Source organism: Homo sapiens, chromosome 16 (assembly GCF_000001405.40).
Source record: "Homo sapiens chromosome 16, GRCh38.p14 Primary Assembly".
NCBI classification, from domain to species: Eukaryota; Metazoa; Chordata; class Mammalia; order Primates; family Hominidae; genus Homo; species Homo sapiens.
This window is the reverse complement of record NC_000016.10, coordinates 53,965,721-53,991,170: the sequence shown is the minus strand read 5'-3', so window position 1 is coordinate 53,991,170 and position 25,450 is coordinate 53,965,721. Positions and strand designations below refer to the sequence as shown.

At 39.4% G+C, this 25,450-nt stretch overlaps 1 protein-coding gene across 19 annotated transcripts in view; it reads right to left on the bottom strand.

Moving 5' to 3' along the window:
* The window catches only part of FTO (FTO alpha-ketoglutarate dependent dioxygenase), a 417,979-nt gene that overhangs the window by 130,771 nt on the left and 261,758 nt on the right, over window positions 1–25,450 (bottom strand). For 2 of the 19 annotated variants that reach the window (XM_011523314.4, XM_017023656.3), the window contains exon 9: window positions 1–25,450. This exon is cut by the window's left edge and continues 32,939 nt beyond it. The exons of the other annotated variants lie outside the window; for them this stretch is intronic. In XM_011523314.4, the coding sequence (XP_011521616.1) occupies window positions 25,438–25,450 (13 nt within the window). In that variant the 3' untranslated portion in view covers window positions 1–25,437. 19 annotated transcript variants of the gene reach the window in all.

Sequence of the window (25,450 nt, the reverse complement as noted above, 5' to 3'; positions counted from 1 at the left end):
GTTACAGAAGAGGGTATGTTTTGGGTGGTCTTCCTATGGCAGTGAGTCATGAAGAAATACAACTTATGTTGCCATGAAAATTCCACAGGGCACACACAAAAGGATACAACTCCCTCTGGGGTGCTGAAAAGGACTCTAGAAAAAAATGACTGTCTGATTTATAGGAAGAAAGCAAAGGGAGAAAATGAAAACCTATACTCAGTCATTAGAAATGTATGCAAAGCACTGTAATCCCAGCACTTTGGGAGGCCGAGGCGGGTGGATCACATGAGGTCCGGAGTTCGGGACCAGCCTGGCCAACATGGTGAAACCCTGTCTCTACTAAAAATACATAAATTAGCCAGGCGTGGTGGCGGGCACCTGAAATGTCAGCTACTTTGGAGGCGGAGGCAGGAGAATTGCTTGAACCCTGGAGGTGGATGTTGCAATGAGCCGAGATCATACAACTGCACTCCAGCCTGGGCAACAAAGCAAGACTCTGTCTCAAAAATAAAATAAAATAAAATAAAATAAAAAGAAAAGGAAAAAGAAATGTATGCAAAGCATGTAAAAGCATGTGAGACACACCATACATGCTCAGTAAATGGCCACAGAAGGTAAGAGAAGAGACAGTGCCTGCCTCTGCTACATCCAGCCTTTATGGGAGGAAGGTCAAAGTAACAGCACCAGAAGACTTGGCCTGCCGCTGTCTGGTGTGAGGGCAGCAAGTGACCTACAATTGAAGTCAGAAACTACACCACAAGGCAGGAGCCTGGGTCTCTACTCACCCCTGCCAGGCTTTACTGGCTTTAGGACTCTGGAAAGCTACTCTACCTACTCAAATTTTAGCATCCTCATCTATAAAATGGGGATAAAATCCTACTCACCCAAATGAGTGAGTAGTAGCCAAGAGGCTACTAAGTGGTATTTATTGAATGTATGCTATAAGGCACTGTGCTATGCATGCTACAGGTACTACCTGAGCTCCAATAACACTATGAGGTCACTATACGTGACCTTTGAACAGTGTAGGGATTGGGGCACTCGACCCCCTGCAGGCTAAAATTTATGTATAAATTTTGACTCCTCCCAAATTTAACTATTAATAGCTTGCTGTTGACCGGCAGCCTTACTGATTCACATAAACAGTCAATTAGCATATATTTTTTATATGTACACACACATTCTATACTGTATTCTTACAATAAAGTAAGCTAGAGAAAAGAAAATGTTAAGAAAATCACGAAGAAGAGAAAATGTATTTACTATTCATTAAGTGGAAGTGGATCATCTTAAAGGTCTTCATCCTCATTGTCTCCACTTTGAGTAGGCTGAAGAGGAGGAGGAGGAGGAGGAGGGAGTGGAGGGGTGGGTCTTGCTGTCTTGGAGGTGGCAGAGGCAGAAGAGGTGGAAGGGGAGGCAGGAGAGGCAGGCATACTTGGTGCAGCTTTTATTTTGAAAGATCCACGTATAAGTGGACCTGCACAGTGTAAACCTGTGTTGCTCAAGTGTCAGCTGTGTTAATATTATTCCCGCCTTATAGATGAGGAGACTAGAGTCTAAACAAGTGACTTGCTGAAAGTAACTCTACCAGTAAGTGGGAGAGCACAGATTGCCACCCAGGACCATCTGAATATAGAGTCCAAGTTCTTGCCGTCTACCCTATTCTACCTCCCCAACTACAATGAGTGTTCCCAAATCGGAGTTGCCTTTTATGATTAACATTCCTACTATCCTACTGGGTTCGAGACCCCAGTACCTGCCTCCAGTGCTCTCCCTCCCAACTGCTAATCAATTGCCAAATCCCATCACCTTGCCTTTGCAATGTCATTTTATTTCCTGCTTTATGTCGTCTGCTGGTGACCAGGTTGAAGGTTTCCCCATCTCTTGCCTTAACTATTGTAACAGGCCATTTTGTGTTTTCTTTCCTCCAACTCCCTGTTCATTCTATTCCTGAAGCTTGAAATGCCACCTGTCTCCTTTGCTTACCACAGTCCTGCACATTCTTTCACGCCCAGGTCAAATGAAGCTTTGCTTGACCTTGACTGCTGCCTGCTCTGGCCTCTCAGAGCACATCAGCCAAGTATCAGCTTAGTGCACATGTCATCCTCCTTGGCGGGCTACTTAGCCATACCCCTTTACTTACCAACCCCCCTCACTAACTGAACTGTGAGTACCATGAGCACCATGCCTCATTTCTTTTCATTTTTATGGCACCTAGGTCTCCCAAAAAATGGTTTTCTGAATTGGGATAAAAGAGGGAGGCGGCAGAAGCATATTTTAAGATTCTTTCTAGGTCAAAGACGTTTGATTCAGATGACAAAACCAATACAAAGAAAAAACAACAAAACCCCTTATAATACTAGGTATTATGAGGTATGATGAGGCATAATGGGTTCAAACCTATGTCTTGGTTGCCAGATGGCCAAGGTTAAACCCCTAGCTCTACCATTTACTAGCTATCTTACCTTGAGAAAATTCTTAACCTCTCTAGACTTCAATTTCTTCACCTATAAAATAGGAGATAACAGTAGTACCTACCTATGAGTCTGCCTTAAGGATCAGATGAGATAATACATGAAGCATTTAGAATACAACTTGGCACATAGTAGGTGCTCAATAAATGGTAGATATGTTATGACATGGGTAGAATATTTCCTTTCCTTGCCATCTAAGATACTACTTAAGACAGACAGGAAAGAGAAACAAGCATTCTAGTCCATGTTCCCTCTTACAGATTAAAAAAACCCTTAAAAGTTGGATGTGGCAAACCCTGCCAGAATTTTTTCTTCATAGCCCAACTTAAGGCCCCAACGTAAAAAATAAAGCTGGCTCCTCCTGGCTTCTTATTGTCTTGGCACTGAACAATCAATTTCAAAGTACATTAAGTTATTTAACAGGTCACCAAGTAGTAGAAAGCTAAAAGTTTAACCATATTTACAAGGAAGAATTATATGAAAATATTTTTATTGATGCTATAAAAACCACCATTAAAAATGACTGCACTGAAAAGCTGAACGTGTATGAAACAAATGGGCAACTCTTAAAATGTTACCTGGTTCCAGACAGTCCAAATTTTGTGTCTCATTAGCAAATAAGATAAATGACTTTGTCTGAAATGATGTTTTATAAATCCTATTAACAGGCTATAAGGGAGGCAATGGTTCCCAAAACAGGAGAATTAATTTTCTAAGTTCAATCCCCATTGTACACACAAAAATGTGGGGGTATCTGGGGGGCTTACTGCTTATGCTGTTTTCAGACTAATATACTAATAATACTTTCTAACAATTGCATTTTATACTTTTCAAAGTACCTACATATTCATTATCTCCCTTGAGCCTCACAACATGTCTATGAGGCAAACTGGGCAAATATTACTCTTGGTTTTAAAAAATAATAATACTGAAGAGTAAAATGGCTTTACCAAAGTCATAAAGCAGAGCTAGGTTAGAATCTCGGCTGCTTCTTGACTCTTTCCACTATCTGTGGAGTTGGAAGAACCAGTGTTTATGATGGGAGGATGGGTGTATTTCTGTGTGCACAAACCCATAGAATGGGGGGAAGCCATACTGTCATTTTTCTTTTCTTTTCTTTTTTTTTTTTTTTGAGACAGAGTCTTTCTCTGTGGCCCAGGCTTGAGTGCAGTGGCGCAATCTCGGTTCACTGTAACATCCGCCTCCTGGGTTCAAGCAATTTTCCTGCCTCAGCCTCCCGAGTAGCTGGGATTACAGGCGCATGCCACCATGCCCAGCTAATTTTTTTGTAGTTTTAGTAGAGATGGGGTTTTTCCACATTGGCTAGGCTGATCTTGAACTTCTGACCTCAGGTGATCCACCTGTCTCGGCCTCCCAAAGTGCTGGGATTACAGGCGTGAGCCACCGCGCCTGGCTGTATTGTCATTTTAAACACCGTATCCAGATAAACTGTAAGAGGGAACATGGAATAGAATGCTTGTTTTTCACTTGTTAATATTTTTTTTAATTTTCAAAAAATAGAAGTGATGTACTCTAACCACCATATAAATAATGGCACAGTGCTCTGTATATCCTTTTTTTTAATTTTTTTAGAGCAAGACGTATTCCAGCGACTGGCACGATTTTGTTTCTGCCTTTTCTTGCCAAAAAGAAAATATGGCTTTAATAGAAGTTTACATCTGCGTGGTATTACATGCATGTAAAACAGATGTAACCTAATTACATTTTCATTTAAATTGCTAAATAGCTACTTAAGTAAAAAGCTAAAATAACATACAAACAACAGTTACTATAATAACAAGTGTACTTAGAATTAAATGAAAAGGATCAAAGCTACAGCAGACAGAATTTGAGTTGGTCTTTCAGAAACAGAGTGACATAACAACGTTACCTTCATTTACTCAGTAATTTAATGTCTCTACAGCTCAGCCTAAAGACACAGCTCAGCTCAGCCTAGACGCATGGAAGAAAATCCATAGAGTTTATACAAAGACTCTGGGTTTCATAAAGATTAGACACACTCTACTAGAGATTATATAGCAAAACCCTAAATTGGAAATTAGAATTCCAGGGCAATACAATCAGCTTGATTATAGTTTTAAGCAGACCTGTCTAGGCTGAAATCAGAAATCAGCTCCCAACTCTGAGATCAGAGTACCCTTTTTGTATTTTTAGCAGAAGACAGCATTACATGCCAGTAATTGCATATTCATAATGCACCCCTTCCTGTGTACCACACAAATGCCCGTCAGAAGGATCCAGAGTTTGGGATGATATTCAGCTTTGGTGCAAAGTGGCGGGGACACATGGTTAGTCCTCACAAAGGAGCAGAGAAACACCCTGTTTCCGAGATGGTTGAACAGGAAGCTGAAATCCTAAACAGTGTGCTCTGGAAAAACTCGAACCTGTTTAACCCAGATTTGCTGGGTAACGTTCACTCTCAGGTTTTCCCTGTCTATTTCAGTCATAATTTTAACTACAGTGAATTTCAGGCGTTTGGTGGTCATGGTGGTTATTTTAAACAGAATGAGAAAAAGATTGAACTTATGAAGTGTTAGAGCAATGTGAACTTATTTCGAAAGTAGAATAGTCTATCAGTAGAAGCAAAGGATTTAGAGCAGGAATGCATGGTGAAAATACTCCCACATCAGCGTTCTTCTCTAAACTAGACCAGCCAGTTTTTCAGAATTTTGCTCAGGAGTATAGAAAATAAAGGACTTAAATCCAGTCAGCCATTTTTCATCATGAACCTGAAATGTTGAAGAATGTTTCAAAACTAAAGGAAACATCTCTGCTAAAACTAGTGGTTACACTCTTTAAGCCATAGAACTTCCTTATCAAAGATATGGCAGGATTCTTTTAAAAATTAGCTTCCAGTTATACCCCCAACATATCTGACTTTAAAAATATGATTAGCTCCTAGCTTTGATTTTCATTTTACTCAGGAAATGTCCTCTCTCTAGAGGTGGGGAAGGAGAAAAAGACTAAGAGTCAGAGGTGGAGAACTGACAGCGGATTTGAAAAACAGAAAAATCACTCGGGCCCTACATTTGGTGTCAACCTTGGCGTTCATTTTCTCGATGCCACCTCACACAGCATTTTAACAGGGCAGGAAGGAGGGGACTGCCAGTGCATGCTGCCTTTGTTTATTCTTCTTTTATTTATAAACACACAGTGCTCTAATCTCAGCAAAGACCCCAAAGGGTCCCATGCATTTAAAGATTTGTGGGAAAATTTTTTTCTTTCTCATGTCTGGTCATCCTACACCAAAACTGTGGCAATTCCCTGGCTGAGGAATCTACAAATTCCCTGCCTCTGGATCTGCGATAATAATGCGGGTATCTGAGATGAGAATGAGAAACATACTCAGAGAATCTTCGCCACCACAGCTAGTCTCAGGTTGAACGCTTTGAATCGGTCTCTTCAGAATGGCTGTTGTTCCTCACTTTCTACAAAGGGTGTCCATTAAGTTTCACAGTGTGTTGAGAACAAGTTTGTAAAAGACAAGTGAAGGCTTGTCATGATTTTGTAACCAATTATTTCATTTGTATTTTATAAATGGGTCATAAATGTCATTGACTAATTGCCACCCTTCTCTCTCCCCAACCCCCAGCCCCTCCCTACACATACTGGAACAAACAGGTAACCTTGTACCACTCTTGCCAGAGGCCAGAAATTAACGGCAGGTTTTAAACTAAACTTCACCTATTTGGAAGGACATCAATGGCAGCTGAGGACACAATGTAATTTCTCTACTTACCAACACTCCTCTCTGCCCTGAAAAACAAACACATTTCCATCATTTTACTCCGTGTCCTGAAACCTCAAAAGCCAAGAGAAAAAGCGACAGCTAAACAATCCAAAAGACACCAAAAGAATCAATATTAAAATAATTAAAATAATCATATCCCAATATCACTGACTTAGTCAAGGCCTTTTCTCGTCTATCTGATCATTATTAAACCAGTCATTACTCAGCATTTCTGTTTGACTGCAGTAGGGACACCATCTTCAGTTGATGCTTTAGGGGCTCTGGGAAAGGCAATGTGAATACTGTCCTGCCTCACAATGTACTTTAAAAAGTAACACATTCTGGATGGGCACAGTAGCTCACGCCAGTAATCCCAATACTTTGGGAGGTTGGGGCAGGAGGATGGCTTGAGCCCAGGAGTTTGAGACCAGGCTAGGCAACATGGCAAGACCCTGTCTCTGCAAAAAAATACAAAGTAGTCAGGTATCGTGGTGGGCGCTGTAGACCCTGCTACTCAGGAGGCTGAGGTGGGAGGATCACTTGAGCTGGGGAGGTCGAGTCTGCAGTGAGCCATCATGGCATCATTGTATTCCAGCCTGGGCGAGAGAGTGAGTCAAAAAAAAAAAAAAAAAAAAAAAAAAAGACCCATTCCAAGGGAGGGATAGAGGAGGGAAAGTAATTACTTTGTGATGGTTAAAAGTCAGTAAGAAAAGCAAGGTGAGGGTGGTTATGCCCTGTAAACTTTTCTGCAACTTGACTCCCTTAAAAGTTGGCCTTAACGAAGGATCTGTGTCACTAAAAAGAAATGATATAAATGAGACAAGCTGCCCTCAATTTCAGAGTAACTGTGTTCTTCACAATAGGGTTTTAAGCCACAGAACAGTCATTGTTTAGAATGCACCAGGCTCCAAACACCTCCCTTGGAGAATGAGAAGGTATGGCCACTAAGCAGCTGGCTCTACCTTTTGCAATTTTTGAAAGCTGAAGTTACAACCTAGTGGCTTGTAGGCCAAAGCTAGCCCTCAAATACATTTTCAAATAGTGTTTTATATTAGTTGTCAAAATTTTTATAAAAATACCTTTCATACAAACATCTGGATTTCTGGCTTCTTTTGGAAAAACAGAAAACAAAAACCCTGAGCCGTACACAACAGTGGGCCCATATTCTCTCATGGCAGCAGCTGGCTGGGAGCAGAGTGCTGGTTGTCCTCTTAGACCGGGGGTGTGCTTTCTAGTTCTTTCTTGTCCCCACAACTCCCTAATGTATTACACCAACCCCTGCTTCACTCGTTGACATTACCTGCCGGCTTCTGCAGAGATCTGAGCTTACCATATCTGATGTGTGTGTGTGTGTGTGTTTGTGAATTCGAATTAATTGCTCAGCAAATAATTATTTTCCCTACTTGAAGGCAGAGAGAAAAGGGTTTCTGAAACTCTAAGTCCTGTTTAGCAATTCCAACAGTCACCCAAATTCCACTCCACTGAGAAAGTCAGTGTTTAAGTTTCAGAACAATGTATGCCACACATCTTTATGCTTGCCTGAAGATATCCTGGGCCCCAGTTCCGTCAAAATGGCTGACCACCAGGTCAGCATCTCCTCTAAAAATTATCCAATACCCTAGGGGTCTGTTGCATGTTTTAAAGGCAAACTATAAAAATGAACTCTACTATTCTCTAAAGAATAAATACATTCTATGCTTATTTATTCCTCCAAAATTAAGTTTGTTAAAAAAGTTGAGTATCAGACATGCATTTTCAGCTTGACTCTTTTACCGTTAGGATGGAGAAAAACCATCATTCTTCATGATATATTTTTTATAATGAGGACCACAAAAAGCGCAGAGAGAAATCTCAGGATCTTTGGAAATAAAAATGAATGTACATATTTTCCGCTAGCTAGCAGTAATTACTTTACCATGTGAGGCTCGGGGTAGGTAGTGATGTGTAATACCTTTAAACTTGGAGCCATCCCAAAAAACACAAACAGAAAAAAACCTGACCTCTGACCCTGTTTTGAAGCATCACTACCCGCTTGGGTAGTGTTTGCATGTTGAAATATTTATTTCCTTCATAAAAAAATCTATCTGAATATCCAATCTCTCAGCAGTCAAGAGTCTTATTTTCATGTTAGCAGAAGCCCTTAAGTAATTTGGGGCTATGATCTTAACACTGCAAGCTTTACCCACTTAAAACTTTGCCAGCTTCGAGCTGCATATTTTTCTCACCAGCTCCTCATTTGCAAAGCATTGTAGAGATTCAGGTGAAAGGTGATGAAGTTTCAACAGCTGCAGAGCCCAGTTAGGAAACTAAGTTTCTTGGGCACAGCTTCCAAGAGGGCAATATTACTGAGCATTCTATCACTTGAAGCCATAAATTTGTACCAGTGAGTACCATGAACAAGTTCATGCAAGCAGGTATTATAATAGTAACTTCTGGATCTGGTGTGAGAATGAAACCTCTCTGAACCTAAAGTTAAGCTGTTTCACTGAAACCCCTCCGATGATAACATTAGACACATGAATATCATCAAGGTTTTCATCAGTTCATTGGTTCTGTGAACAAAAGGCCTAATCAAGATTACTTCATATTTAACTTACACCATGAAAAAAGAAAATCTAAGTCTCACATAAAGTGCTTTAGGACATCATAGTCACAAACATGGGCAGACAAAAGAAAAGAGGTGTATTGGAGGTATACCATGCCCTATTGTAAGGGTACAACCCTTCACCTTCATCCTCAATAAGGTTGAGAAGAACTTAGAACACCTCCTTCTTAATGCCTTCTAATAACAGAATGTGGTGAGGTGAGGACTGAAGTTTTCTCTAAGGCTTAGGATGGAGATATTGAAATGAAGCTAAGAATGTCTTGTTTTTTGTTTTTTTTTTTAACAGAGTCTCGCTCTGTCGCCCAGGCTGGAGTGCAGTGGCACAATCTTGGCTCACTGCAAACTTCACCTCCTGGGTTCAAATGATTCTACCGCCTCAGCCTCCTGAGTAGCTGGAATTACAGGCATATGCCACCATGCCCAGCTAATTTTTTTTTTTTTTTTTTGGAAACAGAGCTTCACTCTTGTTGCCCAGGCTAGAGTGCAGTGGTGCGATCTTGGCTCACTGCAACCTCCGCCTCCCAGGTTCAAGCGATTCTTCTGCCTCAGCCTCATGACGAGCTGGGATTGCAGGTGCCTGCCACCACGCTCGGCTAATTTTTTGTATTTTTAGTAGAGATAGGGTTTCATCATGTTGGCCAGGCTGGTCTCAAACTGCTGACCTCAGATGGTCTGCCCGCCTCGGCCTCCCAAAGTACTGGGATTACAGGTGTGAGCCACCGCACCCGGACCTAATTTTCGCATGTTTAGTAGAGATGGGGTTTCACCATGTTGGCCAGGCTAGTCTCAAACTCCTGACCTCAGGTGATTCGCCCGTCTTGGCCTCCCAAAGTGTTGAGATTACAGGCGTGAGCCACCATGCCAGGCCTCAGAATGGCTCTTAAGCAGGAAGGCTTCAGGTTTTCCTTCATTGTTTACTGACATTACTTAGAGGGTAAATGGCTTTGCTTTTTTGTTGCAATGATTTGGGGAACACCAGGGAATATGGGCCTTTACCTTTGGATGCCATTAGAACTCTACTCCCATTTGTTTTAGAGATGGGGTCTTGCTCTGTTGCCTAGGCTGGAATGCAGTGGCACAACCATGGCTTATTGCAGCTTCAACCTCCTGGGTTCACGCGATCCTCCCGCCTCAGCCTTCTGATTAGCTGGGCCTACAGGCACACACCACCATACCCAGCTAATTTTTAAACTTGTTGTATGGACAGAGCATTGCTATGCTGCCCAGGCTGGTCTCAAAACTTTTGGCCTCAAGTGATCCTCCTGCCTCAGCCTCCCAAAATGCTGGATTACAGGTGTGAGCCAAGGTTCCCAGGCAAAAATTTCTCTCCAAATTTAATAATGGCTTGTTGGGTCAAAAATACTGTGGAGAACCCATGTTATCTCTTTGAGGAAAACTGGCTACACTCTGTTTATACTTGTGTATAATATGAATCTGTTGGAATTTAGAATTTTGCAATTCTAAACTGTATCAGCAAGTGGTTTTTGCATCTAATCCTGTCTCAGTTATGGTTGCTTTGGGAAAGAGAAACAATGCCGCTATTAAAAAAATAAGGCTGTCGTATTTTGAGCTATTTAAATACGGAAGCTTCTTTACTTAGGAACTTTCTATTTAGATTTACTGATAAGAACAAGCCTAAATACTGGAGCAAAAGCCTGTCCCTAACAGATCATACTCCCAGTGGCTGCTTAATGCCACCTTGGATTTATAAACAAGAGGTTTTACATACAGCTTTTTGGATCCTAACCTGGTTGGAAGGAGAGGTGCTTCTGTAAGTTGTTCAGGCAGTTGAGCAGGGCCTCAGCCGCCTTTTCAGCACCTCTGGGCAAATTAGAAAAAGGTGCCTCTGACGGGCAAATACAATCTCCCAGGATTGAAGAGGGGCGTATGCATTGGATTTCAGCCCTTTTCCCTCCCCACGTGTCAGCTTCCTTAGCTTAGAGTCCACATGTAGGGTATAACCTCTTTGCCTAGCATTTAACATGAAAAATGCATAAACAGGTCTCTTTCCAGCCATTCTGGTTTCCAGGTAGCAAACGGCTGTCAAACAATCTCATCAGCAAGCAGAGGTTAGTTACTAATTTCACAATTGTTCGGTAAAAGGAGCCCAATAGCATCAAGCTAGAAGAGTGTGAGAGAAATCCAGGGATTCTTGTCAGAAACAATTAGAAGACATAATAGAAAAGAGCAAAGTCATGTGGCTTCACTTCATGACTAACCAGTTCTTCTTGACTTAAGGGTGGGACTAGTTCTACCTTCTTCTTATTTTGATTCACGAAGGCCACACATGAAGCTAAGCTAAGCAAGCCTGGTTCGCTTCATGGCAAGAAGAGCCATGAGTGTTTTACTGGTGAGCATCATAAACTGAGAAGCCAGGTTTTAAGATCCAGACACCAGATTGAATAAGCCAATGTGCTTTGGCTTAAGGCTTCCTGTGGAAGCAAATGAGCTTCCAGAGAGGGGGCAAAGTAACAGCCCTCTGGAAGGGTGCAAGCACCCAAGGAGCTTCAAAAATAACCATAAGAGCTGGCCAGGAGACTAGCACTTCTTAATTATAGACTGTAATTTAGGAAGGCAAAGTTAATGCAAGTAAAGTCATGTGAGATGTACAGAGACTTTGGTCTCTTTTTGACCTCCAAATTGGGATTTTGCCCCCAAAGTTAGGTATAATTGTAAATTATGGAGCAACACTTTGATAATGAGCTCATAGGCACTGCAGCTGTTAACAGTTAACATGTACGCCACAAAAGGAAGGGGAAAATGTAGAGGACAAGAAATTCACACACGCGCGCACACACACACACACACACACACACACACACAGCCATAAACATAAAAAAGATCCAATCACAGTAGTGATAAAGAAATTCTGTTACTTTTAGTCCATAAAATTGGAAAAGATGTTTTCAAACTGTAATATTCCATGCTGCCAAACTTGAGATGGGAGAGGCATTCTCTCTTGATGAATCTGTAAATTGGTCCATCTTTCTAGAAATCAAATTGGCAATATTTTATTCAAACATCCATTCCAGATATATTTTTCAAGAACCTGTAATTTGTTAGGAACTTACAATGTACACTCTCCTTTACCTAGTAATTCCATATCTAGGAATCTGTTCAAGAAAGCCTCAAAGATTCTTATAAAAGGATGTCTGTCATAATATTTAAAAGTGAAACCCTAAAGAGATATGATAAAAATAAATGATTGTATATATTGAGGAAAATTATTTTTCAGTGATGTATGTAATAATATTCTATGAAAAAGAGTATAACGATTTTAAAAACAGAAATATTTCTAATCATAACCAAATGTTAACCTTCTGGGTGGTAGGATTATGGGTACTTTTTTGGTTTTTTTTTGAGACAGAGTCTCGCTCTACCTCCCAGGCCGGAGTGCAGCGGCATGATCTCAGCTCACTGCAACTTCTGTCTCCTGAGTTCATGCAATTGTCATGCCTCAGCCTCCCGAGTTGCTGGGATTACAGGCACGTGTGCCACCATGCCTAGCTAATTTTTGTATTTTTAGTAGAGAAGGGGTTTCACCATGTTGGCCAGGCTGGTCTCAAACTCCTGGCCTCAACTGATCCACCCACCTTGGCCTCCCAAAGTGCTGGGATTACAGATGTGAGCCACCGCACCCGGTGATTATGGGTAATTTTTATTTTCCTTTTGTGCTTTTCTACAATTTTCAAATTTTCTACAATGAGCCTTTATTAATTTTAAAAGTAAGAAAAAGTACTTGGCCACAAAAGAGAATTAGCTAAATGGCAGATGTATTTACAATCTCAAAACCACAAATGAACAAGAAAACAACAAAATAGTAATAATAAAGTTACAAATACACAGTTTAGTCGTAATTTACAAAACCTAAAACGATGTTTGGCCCTGAAATAATGAAGGAGCATATGTAAACAGAATCAGAAAATCCATTATATTATCCAGTTTAATCTCTTCATTGTATAGCTGTGAAAACTAAGATTAAATTTTGAAATAGCTTGATGTTTCACACTGCAAATTAGAGACTGAAAGCTTAGGACTCCTGGCATCCAAAGACTGCTGTTTCCATACTAGGGGGTGCAAATAGGTCTCATTTAAATTGCAAGTACCAATCAATTGGTAGTAACTATTTGGTGTGCCATGTTAAGAAGGCTATATACAAGTTTAGAAGGAAAATGTGCATCGAGATTAGTGATATTTGCCAAGGGTGACATACATGCATAAAATGAAACAATAGTGTCTTCTCTAACCTCACTGTTTCTCATTATAAAATACTAAATATCTAGCCTGGGCAATACAGTGAGACCCCTATCTCTACAAAAAAAATTTTTTTAAAAATTAGCCAGTCATAGTGGTGCATGCCTGTAGTACTTGCTACCTGGGAGACAGGTAGGAGGATCCTCTGAGCCCAGGAGTTTGAGGCTGCAGTGAGCTATGATTGCAGCACTGCATTCCAACCTGAACACCAAAGCAAGACCCTGTCTATAAATAAATAAATAAATATCTCTTTCTAGGGGAACACTGCATATAAATCAGGACTAACTAAAACTATAGTTTTATGCATAAAGAATGATGAGCAAGAAAAGTTTATTTCTTTCCAAATGAAAAGAGACAATTCCAGGTTTCATAAAGATGTCAAAGAAATATTTATACTCATCATGCTTCAAAGAAATATGTATACTCTCTCCCCATAAAGAAGATAGGAGGCAAGAGCAAAAAAGTTGAAAGAGTAAACTCATGCCTTTCCTAAGGAAAGCTATAAACAGAAATAAACTTCAAAGATTTGAGGGAAATTGCATGCAAAAGCCTTAATGCTAAAATAATCAAAAGCCAATCAAGCTTTGGATAAGCTTCAAAACAGTAACATCACAGAAATGTTAGGAATGAATGAGTTCTACTGAGACCTGTTAACCAGGGTCAGAGAGCATCAGAAAATACTGCTATAGAAAAATATCACCTATAGAAAATTATATATAAAATGTCACCAAATTAAGTTCCTGCATATATTACCTCAAGATACAGTAAGCTCTATTTCAGAAATGGAAAGATGATTCAACAATATAAGATCCAATAATGTAATAGGCCACATTTAAAGAACAAAGGAGAAAACCCATGTCATCATCTCAGTAGATAACCTCCTCCCCTCAAAACAATATCTGATTAAATGCAACAACCATTAAAGAGAATTAAAGAGAATAAGAATTATTTTACTTAATAAAGGATATTGATCAGAAATCTCAGCAAATCTCCAGGTTAACTGCAAAACTTTTGAAATATCCTAATTAACAACAGGAAAAAAAATCAAAGGGTGCCTATTATCCCTACTACTAGTTAACATTATTCCAAAAAATATCAGCCAAGACAGGAAAAAGAGACCAACAAAAGTACATTGGAGAGAGAAAGGCAACATCATTTTATTTTGGATTATTTAATTCCTTACTTAGAAATTCCAGAAGAATCAAATGAAAAACTACCAGAACTAATAAAATTTAGTAAGGTAACTATATGAATGCAAAAACTCAACAGCTACCAGACATATCTGTAATTCCATTACAACAGCAATAAACACAAATATCTAGAAATAAAGGAGAATGTGAAGAAAATTTTAAAACTCATTTAAGAACACAAAAGATGACATAAATAAATGAAGAAATAAAACATGTTAATAGATGAGGTGACATTTAAAAAATTCTCCAACATATATACCTATAAATTCAATGCATTTATATTAAAATGCCAACAGGATTTAAAATTTTTTATGGAATCTGACTATCGGAATCTAAGATTCATCTGACAAAAAGGGCATGAAAACAGTTAACGAAATTTTCTAAAAAGAAAATGGAGGAGGGAAGGCCCTATAATATCTAAAAACACACAAAGTTTTGGTAATTAGGCAAAAAAAAACCTGACACATAAATTTCTGCAAATTTAGTATATGATAAAAGTGTCTTTTCAAATCAGTGGAGGCAAGAATGGTTTATTCCATAAAAGGTGTTGTGCCAATTGCCCGTCCATTTGAAAACCTAATAATAAAGTTAATCCCTACTCAACAACCAGTCACAAAAGTAAAGTTCAGGTGGATTAAATAGGTAAACACTGAAAACAAAACTATGAAAGCATCAGAATTCCATTAAAGTGAATTTCTTTAAAAACATAGTTTTTAAAGAAAGTTGATCTTAAGAAAGATATAATGCACAAAAACTGTAAGAGAAAAGAATAATATATTTGATTAGAATAGCTGAAAGGAATATCACATTAAGACATGTAAGATGAAAGACATCATTAAATTTTTACAGTGAAAAGCACTACACTGGGGTGGGAGAGCCAGGGAACTTTGCTATTTTGGAGAGGTAGCACAGAGTCCTGATGATCAGCAAAGACTCTGGTGGCAGGCTGCCTGGTTCTGATACTTACTTAATCAATCTGTGCCTCAAAGTTTTCATCTGTAGGTTAGGGGAAATAATAGCACCTACTCATAGGGTTGCTATAATCAGTATATGAATTCATATACATCCAGCACATGTTTGGCATGTAGTAAATACAATATAAATCTTCATTGCTTGGGTGAGCCACATAAAATTGCTCCTATGTGACTGTTTGGATCTACAAAAAATAGTAATTTTATATGGTCCAATCTAATATTATTTATATTGTTTGGATTTTTAAAATATAAATTACATGTCTTTTTTTTTTGAGGACTGTAGAATGACAGGATGAGGGTAAGATTCGTAGAGTACAGAGAGTCTGAAGGGAGCCACTCGGTATATGCTAACTGAGTATTTTCAATATCTGTATCTAGAAAGATCTTATCTTTAGGGAAGAAAGCCAATATTTAGAATAACTTTGCCAAGTAAAATGTGAGATATGCTTTCAAAATCTATTTTGTGCTTCTTTCCACACAAGTCCACCAGACCAAATCTTTATACAAATGACTAAATTCTGTGTAATAGCAATAATTGTATTAAATTTGGAAAGTCAAAAAATATTAAAGATAAAATAATGGAGAAATTAGCATAAAATAAATATGAAAACTTCTTTGGGCAAAGTATTCCATACTACTTTAGACTAAATAAATAGGTTTAAATTTGTTATGAATATAACAACCTTACAACCTTTAGGACACAGCTGCAACTGCAACACCAAAAAAAAAAAAACTTACAATATTTAAAACCAAAATACGTGACTCTTTCTATTTACAAAATGTTAGCGTGGCTTTAGTTTTAGTTGTCGAATGCTAATATTACCAAGTTTTCAATGTGCTCTATATAAAAACTAAAGTACAACATCCTCAGCTGAAGTCAATTTAGAAATAGAAATATATATATACATATAAAAACAAATCTCTAGTATTAAATACACAAACAACTCAAGGAGAGTAGAGATTCCTAGGAAATGTTTCTATAAATAGTTTGACATTATTACACAATCTTCTCTGCATACGTTGTAATGGAAACATTGCTATGGGTGATTGAAGAAATAAGCAACTTTGACATTTCTGGATGTAACTTGAGGAGATTATTTCATCAGAAAGGATTGATACAGAATATACTAACCAAAAACTCAATATCAAAACTCTCTTTGCAACTCTAAAACAGTGCAGAATGACATTTAAGATAATCCATTTATCACCATCCAATACAGGCTGCTTGTTCACAAAATGTCAGTGACAAGGCTGGGAGCATTACGACTCCTAGGCAGTGAGTGCGTGTGACAAAGAATCTTTAATACAGCATCAAGTTCATTTCGTTATATGCTATTGCTGTACCTTGGACTTCAGCTCCCATGGTTTTTGCAATTTATATGAGTAGCTGTACAAATGAAATGCCTTTTCTTCTTGTCACACACAACAGAAACATTCCCCTCTAAGGATAGTGAAAGGTTTGCATGATCATTTGCAGGCAAGTCATTTACTCATGGTGAATCTTGATGTTTTTATTAGCCATCTTTACTAAGTTTAGTGCTTCAATTCTGAACAATAACAATTCTAAAAACGGAAATAATTCTTTATAATAATAAAAAAGGTAATAGTGACTTGCATTTTTATGTTATTTATTCATGTTTCAAAGTGGCTTTGTACAAGGTACCTCATATGCTCTTCATCAGACCCCTGTACTATTAGTCATGAATTATCAACATCTTACAGGTGAAAAAAACTGAGGTGTAGGCAAGTTTAATCTTTTTGTCTGAGGTCTCACCGCAAGTCGGCATCATCCAATGTTGAAGCTAAAATGATCCTCAGACTCAAATTAAGAAGCCCAAAGTTCAGAGATCACAAAACTGGCATTTTGTTTGACCAAGCAGGGCCCATAAATCTACATATCCTGAGATTTTATATAAATATGTGAATTTCTGGCTTTACTTGAAAATGTAGCAACACTGGGCCTCTATTCTGAAGAGAAGCCATTGGCTAGAGCTTATCATTCGCCCCTTTTAAATGAGGTATATGCTCTGCAGTTTACTACCTAGTCCATTTCACTCATTTTACACTTATTTTACATACGGTAAAGTGGACAGATCTTTAGTATAAGTTCTACAAGTTTTGAAAAATGTATATGCCCATATAACCATCAACCAATCACGATATGCATTTTCACACTCGCCCCAAAGTTCCCTCATGCACCTTTCCACTGGGTCTCCCTCTTCCTTTCTTTTCCCTTCTCATTCATTTTTTATACTTCCCTGTTGGCAACTGAATTTGAAACCCCAGACACGGTCCAAATCTCTTCATATTACACACAGTGAGACTGAGCTCTAGGGAGAGGCAGAACCAGAGGCAGAATCCAGGTTTCCACACCTCTGGTCTCTAACACTATCCTCAAAACTAGCCCTTTCCAACCTGTTGCACTAGGGTTCACCTAAAAGAAAATGCCAAGATATCATTATCACAGGCTTTCAAGAGCCACCCAGGATGGGTGAACAATTAAGTCTGTGACTTCACCCCAAATGAATCAGATTTGGAAGTGGTATTTAAGTAGCAAATGGGAATAAGCTTAAACAGAGACTTATCTGGGAGTCTAACTGTGGCCTAGATTTGATCAGGTTTACTCCCAGCAGTGGAGGTGGGACATGGGACGGCTCCATGTCCGACAAGGGGAGAGCATCTGGGGTCAGCCTCCTGCTGAGTAGACTTGCCACTGTTAAACTCTGAAATGGCGGGAGCCCAGCAGCAAAAATAACCTCTGCTCTCGATGCCAGGCCACCTGCTTCTTGTCTATGGCTGATGATCTTTGCTTAGGAGGCTAAGTGCCATATGGGATCCTGAACCCCTATTTTTCTGTGATATTTATGCAAACAAGCCAGAATGCATTTTTGTATGGAGCTGAGTCAATGCCTTACTTTCTCCGTTAACCATCTTGGTTAAATTCCTACCTGGGGATGAAGTATAAAGAAAAACAGAAATAAGGCATGTTCCTTTTTTAGAAAAATATATTTTAAGAGGTCACAATATCTCCAGAGCCAAAAGCAAGCAGCTCCATATGGCTTTACAGTGGCTGTCAGACAATGGTATCTCTACTATTCCATTAAGAGAATTTCCCTGCACTCTCCACAAACACTGAAGAGTGAGATTTCTCCTTCCTAAAAGTTTGCATTTTCTTCCTAAGAACACTAGCTGAGAGGGATGGATGTACCTAAAATGTAGAGCTGATTGAAATGTAGGCAGTATGCACAGCCTCTGGGAACCACGCAGGCTTTATCCACCAACATTTGAGTCTGTGGCTGATGGGAAAATGTGATAGCTGAAAGTAACCAATGAAATGAATCTGGTTCAGTCCCTACATTTAATTAATGAAGAAGCTGAGAGTCACAGAGGTGAACTAGTTAATAACTACATATTATTACCAATTTATTGTCTTGGATTTCAATACTCAAGGCAACTTAATATCTACATGGCATCATTTTAGTTCCATGCCACCATTCTGAGTTGAAGAGAAGCAACTCCATTTTGCAGATGGGGAGACAGATTACTAGAAATAAAAAACTCATTTTTAGTTCAGAGAGATGAAGGATGATATTGGACAAGTATTTCCAATATCTTCAACACACGTATTGAAAATACTTGTCCAATATCATACTTTCCAATACAAGTACTGGAAATTTCCAATACTCCGAGCCTTAGTTTCCTCACCTAAACGAGGATAATAATATTGTCTAACAGGACTGTTAGGAAGATTCAAGAATACATGAAGAATGCTGAAAGAGCATTTCAGCACAGGATAAATATTTGTTGTAGTTGTTAAGCTATTATTAAGCAAAGGGCAGTGCCAATAATAGGACCCCTGTCTCCATATGACTGGCTCAGTGCCTTTCCATTAGACCATGCTACATGAAACTCAGATTATACATCATTTGTCGTTAAAACATGCACCAAGCAGAGTGGTGAAGGAGGGAAGGGGGGAGGCAATGAATAAAAACCATCTAAGACATGGAGATTAGCTGTTACCAAAATATGGCATCAGGCAATCATCATCCAAATTTGTGACTGCATTTCATAGAACAGCGCGGATGGGATTTTATTAGATGGCTTCTGCCAAAAACATATTGGCAGATACAGCCCTGAGCTTGTGGTTCACCAGACACAAAAGAGCCCCTCTTCGGGAAGGGGATCCTGCTTAGGCCCTGGCCCAACTCCGAGTTAACACACAGTTAAAAGTAGCAGCTGCAGCACTGCTGAGACAGGGGGTCCCCTAGAGGAAGGCCTTGCCAAGGGGGCTGTTCCCAAATTATTTATCAATTGTTATAAAGAGAACTTTAAAAATACACACATATACACAAAGCAAACAAAACCTCCACAAAATTTAACCTTAGAAAATACAGATGTTGTAAGAACAAATACAATTAGTCGACAGATTAACGGGAAAACCTCAAGAAATGCAAACTCAAACATCAATGAAGTCCAATTTTCACCTACCAGTTTAGAAGGAAAAACCTCAAAAATATAATAATGCTTCAAGGATAAATGTATACTTTGCTGATTGCAGTGTAAATTGGTGCAACGCTTTTGGAAAGCAATCTGGTAATATGTACCAAAAGCCATAAAAACGTTCATATCTTTTGACTTAGTAATCTTCCTTTTAGATTCTAAGGATCTAATCCAAAAAAAGGAGAAAGCGGTATAAGCAAATATGTAATTGCAGCATTACTTATAACTATGTTAAATCAAAAGCAACTTAAAGGTCCAACAATAAGGAAATGATTTTGCATATTGTAATACATCCTCTACATGGAATATCCAGTAGCCATTATAAATCATATAAAGAAACTGCTTCTAACAGTAAGTGAAAAATCACAGGCTCCTATGATTACAACTATTTTAAAACATGTATATAAAATGTATATGCAGTAAATAAAGACCCAAAGGGAAACATCTAAACATATTAATAGTTGTTTGGGGCTCAGTTTCTTACTATTATTAAGAAAAGTTTCCACACTGTCTATTATTTAGAATATTCCCACTTATGTTCTGCATTATGTATATAAGTGTGTGCAAACTAGCAACCCGTAAAGTACATCCAACTACAGTTGAGTTTTATCTGCATGTTTTAAAACAGTGAATTATCTGCCAACACTGAAAACTCAAAAAGTGTCACACTGGCGGCTTTCACCGAAAAATCTAGTCTTGCAATCCTGGGCCCACACCTCTGTAAGGTAATAACTGTTTGGAGTTGGAAGCAACTGTCCCTTGTAGACAGCATAAGTGCCCACCTGTTTGCCATACCCACCACCATCCCTGTTGTCTTTTTCTTTTTTCTTTTCTTTTTTTTTTTTTTTTTGAGATGGAGTCTCGCCCTGTTGCCCAGGCTGGAGTACAATGGTGCAATCTCGGCTCACTATGACCTCTGCCTCACAGGTTCAAGCAATTCTCCCTGCCTCAGCCTCCCGAGTAGTTGGGATTATAGGCGCCCACCACCACAACCGGCTTATTTTTGTATTTTTAGTAGAGATGGGGATTCTCCATGTCAGCCAAGCTGGTCTCGAACTCCTGACCTCAGGGGATCCACCCGCCTTGGCCTCCCAAAGTGCTGGGATTACAGGCTTGAGCTACCGCGCCCAGCCCCTGTTGTTTTTCACCCAAGTCGGCTTCCCTCTTGTATGTCACCTGCCCAATTCCTAGTCCATATGATTAAGGGAGGCAAATGATGATGGAGAACTGTAAATAATTTGAATTCCCTTTTAAACGGGAATCATTGCCTATTAAACTTGAGCTTTAGTTTGGTTTGTTAGGTCACCAGAAAATTACGGTCCAATCTACTACTCTCCTCACCATGCAACAGGCAATTTCAGGGTCTTTCTTATCAACAAAAGAACCATTGGCCACACCTCGCCTCCTCCGTTGGACATGCTCCTCAGTCCAGAGTCTGCTGGTGCACTCTTTTCCTCTTTTCTTGAAGTTAGTCTGTGGCAAGGCCCTGGCTAGCCTCCTCCTCCGTGCTTAGCAACTACAGAGGCGAGCACACAGCACACTTTTAGGCAGCAGTTCACAGCCACGTTACCCTAACTGCTTTTCTATATTACAGAGACAAATTATTTTCTGCGTTTCCTGAGACAGAGATAGAGCAGGTTACGGGCGAGGCTTTCTTTCTCCCTATACATATTCTAGCTATCACCTGGCAGAACTCTGGCTCTGTTTGCTGTAGGCAGATGTTTGCATTTTTCTTTTCCCAGGGGCAGAAGGTATAGAAACAGAGAGTGTGCAGTAGTAGAGAGGTGACACTGGAGGATATAGGTCCTGTCACATCTATTGCATAAAGATGCAGTGTGGTGAGAATGTCTGGGAACTCGCTGTTTGTGAGTCGCCACAAAAAAAGCACAAACTACCAATGACAGTATATATTATGTTCATTTACTTACACGCATGCAAAAGGCCATAATGTTGGTAGATGAATTAATAGAAAACAAGCCCCCCCCAAAAAATAAGCAAGTAATTTTCTAGTCTACATGTCTGATCTAGTGAAGGCTGAGGGACAGCTCCTGGACCAAGGACCTTTAGTAAACATCAGGGCTCTGGGCCGAATGTCCTTACCTGTTTCCTAAGGCTTGGGAAACTGTTATTCAGGCAAGAGAGTTATTTCAGATAAAGGACAAATGCTGTCCTTTAATTAACAATATCTATCTCTGGGACAAGCACATCAGGTATACAATACAGAAGATTCTTTTAATATAAAGGACAGATGGCAACTTCACTCCTGGGACTTTCAAGGCTGCCCCAGAAAAACACACAATTTTAAAAGGCTTTGAGAATTCTCTAAGGAGAACCAGTCAGGAGATAAGAATGCTTCATTGCCCCATTTACAAAGTAAACCAGAAAGTGTCTCAGAATCATTCAGAAACACTTGAAGAAGGGTCAGGTAAATCTGAGAGAGGAAAATAATAACTTTTGCCCCATAGTGTAGTTGTGAATATCGTGAAAGTTTCCTTTCCTCTGAGCCAAACAGTACTAGATGAAAAGGAGTTTGAATGTGCTGTACTGACTAACAGTTTGGGCTTCATGATCACATAACAACAAAGCAAAACAAAACTTTCAAATATCCTCCTTATGCTAATATTGAAAACATCCCACCAGGACACTGCCACCCAGCTGAGCACTGGTTTACTTGGTAAAAGGATAGGATGAGGTCCCCAGCTCAAGTGAAATGTCTCTCCTTTTATGGTTCTCATTAATCTGACTCAACACACACATGTGTTGGTACAAGATTCCTACAGCATGTGTTATACCTGCCTAACTGGGTGCTAACATTATAAACCACACATCAACACTTCTTGTCCGAGAGTGTTAATGTCTATTAATGTCCTGCTGGGGAAAAGGCTCTTAGAGCCAGCCCACAGCCACAATTCAAGACTGCCTGCCACGAGTCCTAGACTTGGCCTGCTGATTTTAGATGGTGTATTTCATTACCAGAATTTCTGGAGGAGGGTGGCGATGATGGTGCTGTACTTGGTTTTATGTTGCCAAGATTATCTTCATATATGAAACTTAAAAAGCCATATGAATCTGAAGGAACTTAGGACTGAGGAATCAACCATGTAGAATTTGGCTACTGATACCCCAGATACCAAATTAGGCTTTTCTGCTTCTGCACTGTGATGTTTTGCAACACATTGATATGGGGAGGAAAGGGGCTTGCCAATGTCACAGTGAGCTTCCTTGTCTGCACATTTTCTATACATCCTATGAAGTCATGCACATTATCTCAAGCTGGATTTACTAAGTTCCTAAGTGCACATACAATGTGCTTGTATGTGCAATGTGTATATATGTATATCACTGATAGACCCGAATCAAGTATATATGGTGAATTTCTTTTATATACATATGAAGGCTGCATAATATGTGAACACACACATATACATACATATAAATTAAAACAAATTAATTAAATGATAATTTCATAAATTTTGTGATGTTTTCTCAAGATTTGCTAGGCAGCACAAAAAGTGTATATTTAAACCACACAACTCCATTCCTGCAAATAATAATAAAAAAAGATGTACACACAAGCACAACCGTCAAAACCGGATTTGCCCTTCTCTAAATTAATCCAATTATTCAAATGTCAGTTATATCTGTCACAGCCCGGCTCCTTGGGCCGAACCAAACTGTTAAAAATTAAAACTGTTTTACTTCGTTTAGTCTTTCTGCCTTTTTAGTGTAAAACCCACAGTCTCGACAAAAAGTTGTGGGATTTGACACCCAGTGCAACACAACCCTATTGCTGTCATCCATGCATAATTCACTTTGGAAATATGCACTTGCTTTAAAATATTACTAAAAAATACATGTAACATATGCTAATTTCACTGCGTTGGCTTGTAAGCTCTAGCCACTAGGTTATATGTAAACTTTGCCAAGTGCACACACTGTACATAAAGGGATTATAAATGAAAGGAAATATCTCTGTCCCTAGCTCTCTGTCTCCATCCTTGGCCAAACTGACAGCCCCAAATCCCAGCACCATCTAACATGCCCTTCCCGTGGAGAAGACAGCCTGTTCTCAGAGTCTTAATTACATCCCAGCTGACTACCCAGCGTTGCCAAAATCAGGCAACAAACGCTGGCCCTTCACTCACAATATGGTCTGCTAAACAGACTCCTGGTCACACAGAAAGAAACTTTCACAACGTGGAGAAATAAAGGGACAAGCAGGAGATCAAGGGAGAGCACAAACAGTAACCTAGGGGATGGAAGAGAGAGAAACAATTCATCCCCACCGTGCAAAAAAAGGGGAAAATAAAAAGAAAAACCTTTTCCCAGAATCCTTAGGCACCACTGCGCAGCGGAATTTTAACAAAGCTATCCTTATTATAATGAAATCAAAGACCGACTCATCCAGCCAAGAACTGCTGCTCCTCAAGATGGGAGGCTGATACGAAGACTCAGTAGATTAACGATTGTTAAGCAGGACTCACCCACTCCACACGGATCAGGCCATTATAATTACAGAAGAACAGCATGCAACATTCTACCATTGCAAATGGTATCATACGTTTTCCTGGCTGGCTTTCGGGGAAGGGTTTAGCTCATTTGACATGGCAGAAGGTCCTGGAGCCATGCATTCATAGCTACCTGTCTTTCATATCTAGCGGCATAAAATTAAGTTTCTTTCTTTTTGTGATTGCATCACTTGTATATGACTGCAAAGATGGTCACTGAACTTGGAGGCTATTCTTGGCTTGGTCCACCTCTAAATAGAATTAGCTATTAAAAAGAAAATTTACTTTAAAAGGGAGCTTTGGAAGGCAGTTGTTCTCCAGAGCAACTGAAACCAAGATCAACAAAAGATCTTGAGAATGTGCTAATAGAGAAAGACCTGCTCTATGAATTAAAATGTTGTAGACTGAGAAATCAAACTGTGGTTTCAAATGTGGCCCACAAATCAGAAGTTATAAAGGCAGCTGCTTGGAATTTTCCTTGTTGATTTTGGTATTTGAGATTGTGATTGTGGGGATGCCATTTATTCAACACAATGGGAACACTGCTGCCTGGCATTCTGTCATAATCAAACTGCTTTTCATATGGGCAATTCCACATAGAATGTTCCAAGATTAATAGCACTATGGATTTACTTATTTTAATGATGGTACAAGATTCTCCAGAACAGGGTAGGGGCAGACAATTAAACAGTAAAAATAACAAATACATTATAAACACAATTTGCAAAGCACTTAAATATACATCCTCATTAAGTTTCAAAATTACAGCTGCCATGGTGGCTCACACCTGTAATCCCAGCACTTTGGGAGGACAAGGTGGGCGGATCACTTGAGGCCAGGAGTTCGAGATCAGCCTGGCCAACATGGTGAAACCCCATCTCTACTAAAAACACAAAAATTAGTTAGGCGTGGTGGCGTATGCCTGTAATCCCAGCTACTTAGGAGGCTGAGGCAGGAGAATCTCTTGAATCCGGGAGGCAGAGGTTGCAGTGAGCCGAGATCGTGCCACTGCACTCCAGCCTGGGTGACAGAGGAAGACTCTAACTCAAAAAAAAAAAAAAAAAGTTTCAAAATTACTCTATAAGGTTGGCATTATTATTCTGATTTTACACAAGATGAAACTGAAGGTCAAGGAAGTTAAATGGCTTTTCCAAGATAACAGGGGTTTTGACTCCAAAACTCATTCTTTTTCCACTGCCCTATGTCGTTGCT